Raw genomic sequence first — 9,478 nt, forward strand, 5'->3', positions numbered from 1 at the left:
TATACTAGTCTTCTCAGTTACATTGTCAAGGCCATTATTTATATTTTGATGGTATTCTCAGCACCAGCTGTTGTGATCATTGAAATGTATTCTTGACCTTAGATGCTCACTGCACACTTGACAGATTGGGAACTGAGTAGAGGTGCTTGTTAGTATCTGCATCTCAGTGGCTGGGGACAGCTGGACTCAGCTTGTGTGACTCATGCAAAGTCAGATGATCAGTCATAGAGGGAACTTGGAACTTAAAAGTGTAAACTGAAACTTACGCTTTTAAAAATTATTCTATCTCACATAGTGAGAAATCTTTATGACTCTTTAGTCTACAAAAGGGATCAGTGAACAGTTTCTGTAAGGTGACAGATGATATGGTATAGAGTAGTTCCCCCATCCATGGTTTCACTTTCTGTGGTTTCAGTTAAATGTGGTCAACTGTGGTCTGAAAATATTAAATGGAAAATTCTAGAAATAAATAATATATAAGTTTAGATTATATGCTGTTTTGAGTAGTGTCCCTCCTAGAACATGAATCACCACTTTGTCTAGCATATCCATGCCTTATACGCTACCTGCCCGTTAGTCACTTAGTAGCCTTCTGAGTTATCAGATTGACTGTTGAGGTATCACAGTGCTGTGTTTAAGGAGCCCTCATTTTACTTAATAATGGCACCAAAGCACAAGAATAGTGATGCTGGCTTATTGTTAGAATTGTTCTATGTTATTAGTAGCTATTGTTGTTAATCTCTTACCGTGCCTAATTTATAAACTTTATTATAAATATATATGTAAAGGAAACACAATATGTATGGTGTCCTGTACTACTGAAGATTTCAGGTGTCCACTGAGGATCTTGGAAGGAATCCCCTGTGGATAAGGGTGCACCACTGTAAATATGTTCAGCTTTGAGGGCAACATAGTCTCTGTCACAACTGCTCTACCTGCAACAGCGCCAGACAAATCTGGCTAAACTTTAATCCAACAAAGTTATGAGTTGGTCTGAGCCCTCAGGCTGAAGGTCATGTAAACTGAGCATGCCCAGATGAACCAAGTATGCAACCACAAGGGGAACAGAAGTGCCCAGACCAAGGAGAAGACCAAAGAGCAGGGACTGAATTAAGAAGCAGACGCAGTATGGAAGGATCCAGGATCCAATCAAATTGAGCTCTGGCATCAGCCCATTGTGGAATCGAATCAGATCATGCCTCCTGGCATCATCTCATTGCAGAATTCAATCAGATCACACCTCATTACCCTATGCTTATAAAACCCGACCCAAACGTCAGCTGGGGGTGATATATTGGAGCACTTCCTCCTGTCTCCTTGCCAGTCCACTTGCAATGAAGCTTTTTTTTCCTCAAAAGCCAGTGCCATGGTCTTGGCCTCCATGTACATTAGGCAGCAAGCCCATTGTTTGCTCAGTAACACCCTACCTTTGCATCCCTTTGTATCGTGAAAACAGCCACAGAGACAATGTAAATGACTTTTATCTCATTTAAATGAATTGTCAACCTCAGCTAAATTACTACTTATCATATAAACAGAAAATGTAAATAAACTGATTATTTCTTTCCATCCATGTTTTTACTGTCTTCATGTATAGCATGTGTAGGATTTTGAAGTTAACTGTTTCTGAAAACTTACTTGCAAATTTTTCAACACTGCAAAAATTGCTTAAAATAATGAAGCCAAGAAAATTAAGCCAGGTTAAAAACATAAAAGAAGAAAAGGAAGGAGGGCAGGCAGGTAGGCATTTGTTAAAAGCTTCTTTCCCTCAGCATACTATTATTTGCGATTCAGCTGTCTTGTTGTGTTTATCAGTAAGTTGATTCTTGGCCAGGCACAGTGGCTTCACGCCTGTAATCCCAGCTCTTTGGGAGGCCCAGGCACGTGGATCACTTGAGGTCAGCAGTTTGAGACCATCCTGGCCAACATGGTGAAACCCTGTCTCTACTAAAAATACAAAAATTAGCCGGGTGTGGTGGCGGGCACCTGTAATCCCAGCTACTCCGGAGGCTGAGGCAGGAGAATCGCTTGAACCCGGAGGTGGAGCTTGCAGTGAGCCGAGATCTCACCACTTGCACTTCAGCTTGGGCAACAGAGTGAGACTCCTTCAAAAAAAAAACAAAAAAAAAGTTGATTCTTTTTATTGTGAGTACTGTTCCATTGTATACCATTTGTTAGCCCATTTTCTTATTGATGGACAGCTGGGATGTTTAGATGTTAGAAATAAAGATGCCTTGAACTATCATAAGTTTTCATGTGAACCTATGTTTTTTAGTTCTCGTGGGATTAGAACTGCTGGGACAGAGGATCAGTGAAACCTTAATTTTTTTTTTTTCTTTTTGAGATGGAGTCTCTGTCACCCAGGCTGGAGTGCAGTGGCGCGATCTCGGCTCACTGCAAGCTCCGCCTCCCGGGTTCACGCCATTCTCCTGCCTCAGCCTCCCAAGTAGCTGGAACTACAGGCGCCCGCAACCACACCCAGCTAATTTTTTGTATTTTTAGTAGAGATGGGGTTTCACTGTGTTAGCCAGGAATGTCTCGATCTCCTGACCTCGTGATCCACCCACCTCGGCCTCCCAAAGTGCTGGGATTACAGGCATGAGCCACCACCCCCGGCCGAAACCTTAATTTTATGAAATGTTTTTTATGTTCCAGACCTTAACTGATGAGCTTTTAAAACTAACTTCTAAATTTGAAATGTATATTTAATTATGGAATATGCTTTAATGTAATCTTTTGGGATAATCACCTAATATTTTGCCTTGAGATTTTTAATATAAATAACAATAAAATAAATAACTAATAGTAAATGAATACCTTCTCAATCTTCCTAACCTTGGAATGTGGGGACAGGATGTGAAAATATCTTAGAGTTTTGAGATCTTTACACGGTTCCCTCAAGGCTTTTAAAAAGAGTATTTAATTGCTGGTAGTGGTAGCTGACGCCTGTAATCCCAGCATTTTGGGAGGCCGAGGCGGGTGGATCACCTGAGGTCAGAAGTTCAAGACCAGCCTGGTCAACATGGTGAAACCCTGTCTCTACTAAATATACAAAAATTAGCCAGGCGTGGTGGCAGGCGCCTGCAATCCCAGCTACTCAGGAGGCTGAGGCAGAATTGCTTGAACCCGGGAGGCACAGGTTGCAGTGAGCTGAGATTGTGCCATTGTGCTCCAGCCTGGGCAACAAGAGCGAAATTTCATTCCAAAAAAAGAGTATTTAATTGTGTTGATTTTAATGATTACTGAAATTTTGGCTGTTTTTTTGAAACTATTTCTTGTTTCCTTTCTCTTTCCCTTGTAAATAAGCTGTAAGAGAAAACTGCTTAATCACAAAACGTAACATAAGGCTTTCATGTCAGTGTCCAATAGGAATGAATTTTTTATGGTGACAAGGTAGGGTTATAATCCAGATCTCTGGTAGGCACATCCATAAGGTGCAAGGTGTATAGAAAATAGCATCAGTTTTTTTGGCTGGGTGCAGTGGCTCACGCCTGTAATCCTAGGATTTGGGGAGGCTGAGGACTGTGGATCACCTGAGGTGAAGAGTTTGAGACCAGCAGATATGGTGTTCTTGTTCTCAAAGCCGAGGTGGGTGGATCACCTGAGGTCAGGAGTTCAAGACCAGCTTGGCCAACATGGCAAAACCCCGTCTCTACTAAAAATACAAAAATTAGCCAGGCGTGGTGGCAGGTGCCTGTAGTCCCAGTTACTCAGGAGGCTGAGGCAGGAGAATGGCGTGAACCTGGGAGGCGGAGCTTGCAGTGAGCCGACTGCACTTCAGCCTGGGCACAGAGTAAGATTCCATCTCAAAAAAAAAGAAAAAAAAGAGTCTAGGATCCAGAGAAGTAAACTGTATTAATGATGTGGTCATATGCATGCCAGAGCTTATTTGGAAATGCACAGAATTGATTCCAAGATGTTTTAATAATGCAATCTGGGGTTTGCATCTCAAAGTAATGATCCATCAAGGATGGTCTTTAGAGCTATTTTCTAACTCACATGCTTAGTGGAGACTCACATCAAAATGCCCTGTTAATAGCAATCAGTAGCTGGTAAACTGAAGCCTGATTCAATTTGTGTCATTTCCCTGCAAATTTGTACTCCATTTCTGTGCTATCACCTGAAGACCACCCACCCAAAGCTATTAGTATACAATATGATGTGTAAGAGAGCTCCATGACTTCTCTGTGGAATAAATTATTTCACCGTATTTTTAAAACTATTTTTCATGTTTATACTCAGAGTAAATGAGCAATGTTACAACTATTCTTCTCTGTAAATTGTCACACCTTAAGTTCCTTAGGATGGCTCAACTCTTTCACTCTTCCAGCATGGGAAATAATTGTTTAATAAAAATAAAACATAACAATGGATTCATGATCCAAAGAAGACAAAATAGAAGATTTTTTGTTTTCTATTTCTCTTGACTCCTCAGCTAATTGTACCACCACTAAACCTTTCTTTATCTCCCCCACCTCACAGGGTTAATCTCTAATGCTGCTCAACATTTTATATCTATGTGGAAACTACCATTTAACTAAATTTTGTTTGATGTGGAAAAAAAATCATTCTTTCAATATTTGATAATTTTGGATAGCTAAGCACTTTTGTTAGATTTTTATGTTCTTCAAGAGAAATAAAATAGAGGCAGTGGAAAGGATTACTTAGTCCCCAGGGGTTGAATACTCACCCGAGGACTCAGTGCATTTGATTCCTGATACTCATTTAAGACCCCTTTTCATGCTTACTTACTAGGACTTCTTAAATTTGTCTTCTTCCAGGTGAAATAATTCAAAACAACTCAAGAATGGAACTACTGATTCATTAATAAAGAACAGAAAATAAACAAGGGCAAAACTTGAGAACATAAATACACAAAAACACAAAGACTCACTTAATTTTTATCTCAGATAAAAAAGGAAAGTAGTTTGCTGAATTTGCCTTTCTACTAAGAAGTCTTCGCTTTCACTTGGTTGGGAGGGTACTTAACATGAAGAAGCAGGAATTCCTGGAAAACAGGCCCCTTCTACCCTAACGTGTTTTCTGTGGGGTCGTTCAGTTATTGTCCCTAAGCAGAGGTAACTGGGAAATAGCCTTGGGCTGTAATTTTCCCATTTTACCTTAAGCAATATCATAACTAGCAACGTGTGACACCCAGGAGGTTTGTTTTCTAGATAACACTCTCTTTACGATATAAGGGCTCTTTGAGAGAGTTAATATAATAAATCCTCAGAGTAAAGTCTAGGATACTCTTTAGAAATTAAATATTACTTGAAACATATGAAAGCCATTCAGCAGGTGACAGAGCTATTTACAAATAGATTAAACATCTTTCAAGTAAATTATTATTTCATTAATGTTGTTAGTGTTTATGCACTAAAACATAGCCCAAAATAACATATTTTATCCTCATATTGTAACACAATTTATGTTACACTTGAACAAAAATCCCTCAGTGTGCAGCTGATTTTAAATCCATCATCAGTTCTACTAGTCAAAAGTGGAGAATCTTTTTGCATTTGTACCTCTGGTAGCCAAAGTAATGTATCTTCTCTCCATGTTTCTTTATCCATCCATTCATTAATGTGCTGTTTTCACATTGCTTCGTTTTGAAATTGTCCATGGCCCAGCTGAACCAAGCAGAAAGATTTCCCAGGCTAGTTGCATTGTATTTCACCTTCTGTTGTCATTTCCTTTGGTCTCGTAAGAATAAAATCCTTTGGTCTCATAAGAATAAAATGAGTTTTTTTTTCCTTCAAGCATGTAGAATATTTTTGGTTATTGTTCAAAAGTGAAGCCACAAATCAAAAAATGTTTTTCTTCTTTGTTTATTTGCTCCTCTAGCAATGTATATTTCATATATGTGAGTGCTTATGTCTAAATTTCAGGTCTACATTCAGCACAGCATCTTCATGGACAGCTAATGAGATTGCAGATGGTAAAGCAGAACATGTGTGGTCATGGGATGAAACTACTCCAAATATCTTATTAAACCCTGACACTCCCCTCTCTCACAGGCCTCCTTTGCATAAACATTTTATATTACATTTTTATAAAGACATAAATAAATTAATACCTCCACTGTAATTTTTCTTAAAATTTAGCATGATTATCTCCTTTGAAGAATAGAATGGTCCTTTAATCAACCAATTAAAATTGTATAACCCACCGGAAGAATTCATATATTATGTTTAATAATTAGTCACAAACCATATGTCTGGGACTATTTAATATTGACTTTAGCTCCATGTATATTATTTCCATCTACTTTTTTATTTTAGTAGGTTAACAGTATGAGTATGAATATATGAATTTCTAAATGCAAAGAGATGTACTTTATTAAGCTTTGGATTGTCAAGGAGAGCAATGGTTAAATATGACTAAGGTCCATTTATATTTAACTCTGCTATTTTTTTCTGGAATTGACAGTATAGGTGAATGCATGCTCATATTGTACTTTCTCCTTTGAAATAATGAAGAAGCCAGACAAAAGGATTATTGCTCGCAGAAGAGAATAGAAAAAAGCAAGAGAACCAGGGAAAGAAGGACCCAATCCACTTTCTCTAAAATTATTCTTGTTTGAGACAATGACTGATTTCATGAGTATCTTCTTACCTCTCTCTGTCTTTTTATGGCATATTTTAAGGTTGATTTTTGAACTGCCTTTATATATGTTTTCTAAGGTTTCAATGAAGGTAAATATGCCTTTGCAAACTATTTCTCAGGCTATGAACCATGAGTGTGTGGGTCAGTGAGTGGCAATGATGACATGCCACACTTGTGGAGAAATAAATGATGAAAGGTTAAATGCTTTTTGCCTTAGATCAGGAAGAAGAGGTTGTTCACTTGTTTAGAATGAACTCTCTGAGTTTCTTTATCTGCTCAGCTTGTAGCCATTGTTTCTGCAGCCACCAGAGACCCAGACAGAAGCGCAGCAGCAGGAGATCCACCTGCATGGGTCAGATTGCAGATGTGGCTTCAATGACATGACCACAGTGTGAAAGTTCCCTGGGGGGCACACAGCATGCTTAGAAAACACACACACACACAAGGAGGTCAATGCCTTTATTGGGTCCAGGGCATTATATAAACAGGGAGCTTTAAATTGATGGGCTTAAAGCAAGCAGGCACTAGTACTAGGAAGTCACATTGTGACTGAAAAGTGTCTAAATGGTCTGTTTAGAGGAAGCAGCAGGAAAGCTGGGAGCCCAGCCTGCTACGAGACAGAGATGCCTCCAAGTTTTTATTTCTGGTCACCACCTGGAGCCATTTGGGGGGTATAGTACAGGAAACTGCATCAAGGGTGACTGAACCCTGCTTCTGGTTTGAGAAAGTTAAACACATATTTGAAAATGGATGCTAAGGCAACATAAAACTTTAAGCACTCACTGCAGCACATTTACCTCTTTTATTTACCATTGTATTGGAGGTTCTAGCCAAGATAAGATAATTAAACGAAGAATAAAGTAAAGGCATTCAGATTGGAAAGGAAGAGGTAAAATTAGCTCTACTTGCAGATGACATTACCTTTATATAGAAAACCCCAACAATGCCACTAAAAAAAATTATTGGAACTAATAAACAAGTTCAGCCTGACAGCAAGGTACAAGATCAATATACAAAAATTGTAGGGGCCCGGCCCTGCACAGCGCCCTGGGGAAGCTGGTTTGAAAGCTCTGGAGCGACCCCAGTGCCGGGTAAAGGACAAGATTTGCCCAGACGGAAGGGAACTTGGGGAGAGGTGGCCGTAAGAATGTGGGATGAAAATGTTTCGGGCAGAGCGGTCGGAACACACCTGAGGAAAGCATGGTGGGAGGAGTCATTAATATGAATGAGTGGCAGGGACAGGGCGTCCTTGCAGCGCCCTCGGTGTTGGAAGGGAAGACCGTGCAGCGCGATGGGGATCAGGGCGGCGGGCCGCAGCCGGGGTGGGGTTGGGCGCCGGTCAGGGTGCCTTGAAGCAGATTCTGTCCTCAGGAGCTGCAGTTCTTCCTCCTCCGCCCTCACCGGCGGGCGACCTTAGGCAGGGAGTGAAATGCAACGGGAGCCCTGGAGGGAGGGTGAAGCCGCGCGTGCAGGAGGAACCTCCTATTGGCGAGTTCAGGTCCCCCAGCTGCGGAGGTGGGGGACCCTGTGTGGCAGCCTGCTGAGCGGCTGCGTGCTCCGCCCTTGGAGGGGGGAAGCTGTAGCCCCCCTCCTCTTTTTCAGCCAAGAAACCGCTAGTTACCCCCTTATGCAACCAAGACTGTAATAACCCTGTCACCTTTCACGGCCCTCCGGGTCTGCGCCCATCCTCTGAGTATTCACTCATCCACCCCGAGGCCTGTTTTCCTCACCTGTTGTCCCTCTGGCAGAACCTAGGCTCCTCGGAGACCAGCCAGCATCTATCTGCCCGCTGTTCCCACCCACCACACTCCCTCCCCAGTTCTATCCCAGCTCCTTAGACGGTTGGAGTTCAAACCTCAGACCATGACAGCACACAGGCCTGGACTCCGGTATGGCCCTGGACAAGTTCCTTAATCTCTCTGAGCCTCAGCTTTCTTCCACGTGAAGCAGCGGTAACATTGTTATTAGGAGCCTCCCGGCCCCAGCACACCGACATACATACAACTGGATATCCATCCTGCCTGTGAGGAGTCGTCTTTACTTTGGGTTGTTTCTTGTCCACAGAGGTCCACACTTTATTTTCCTGGAGGCACCAGCGGAGTCACTGATGCACCCCTGCATCCAGCATGTTTAAGGGAGACAGTCTGGGGAGGGCAGGAAGAGCCTAGAGGGTCCCCTAGTGATTAGGGCTGTGATGGGGATGTTACTGGAAAAGGGTCCCTATCCAGACCCCAAGAGAGGGTTCTTGGACCTCCTGCAAGAAGGAATTTGGGGCAAGTCCATAAAGTGAAAGCAAGCTTATTAAGAAAATAAAGGAATGAAAGAATGGTTACTCCATAGGCAGAGCAGCGGCAGGAGCTGCTCGACTGACTATACTTACAGTTATTTCTTGATCATATGCTAAACAAAGGGTGGATTATTCATGAGTTTTCCGGGAAAGGGGTGGGCAATTCCTGCAACTGAGGGTTCCTACTCTTTTTAGACCCTATAGGGTAACTTCCTGATGTTGCCATGGCATTTGTAGACTGTCCTGGCACTGGCAGGAGTGTCATTTAGCATGGAAATGCATTATAATTAGCATATAATGAGCAGTGAGGATGACCAGAGGTCACTTTCGTCACCATCTTGGTTTTGGCTGGCTCCTTTACTGCATCCTGTTTTATCAGCAAGGTCTTTGTGACCTGTATCTTATGCGGACTTTCTATCTCATCCTGACTTAGAATGCCTAAGCTAGTGGGAATGCAGCCTCACAGGTCTCAGCCTTATTTTACCCAGCCCCTATTCAAGATGGAATCGCTCTGGTTCGATCACCTCTGACAGGGGCAGTGTACATTCACATCGTGGCCTTTGCTGCCTCATCCTTCCAGATCTT

General features: G+C 41.9%; 2 annotated features.

Moving 5' to 3' along the window:
* Positions 7,453–7,972: an enhancer, noted in NCBI's record as "H3K27ac-H3K4me1 hESC enhancer chr9:47049006-47049525 (GRCh37/hg19 assembly coordinates)". NCBI's record gives its function as "activates a minimal SCP1, AML or CMV promoter by ChIP-STARR-seq in primed H9 embryonic stem cells {active_cell/tissue: H9 hESC(primed)}" and the evidence as "EXISTENCE:reporter gene assay evidence [ECO:0000049][PMID:30033119]".
* Positions 7,973–8,491: an enhancer, noted in NCBI's record as "H3K27ac-H3K4me1 hESC enhancer chr9:47049526-47050044 (GRCh37/hg19 assembly coordinates)". NCBI's record gives its function as "activates a minimal SCP1, AML or CMV promoter by ChIP-STARR-seq in primed H9 embryonic stem cells {active_cell/tissue: H9 hESC(primed)}" and the evidence as "EXISTENCE:reporter gene assay evidence [ECO:0000049][PMID:30033119]".

Source organism: Homo sapiens, chromosome 9 (genome assembly GCF_000001405.40).
Source record: "Homo sapiens chromosome 9, GRCh38.p14 Primary Assembly".
Classification (NCBI taxonomy): Eukaryota; Metazoa; Chordata; class Mammalia; order Primates; family Hominidae; genus Homo; species Homo sapiens.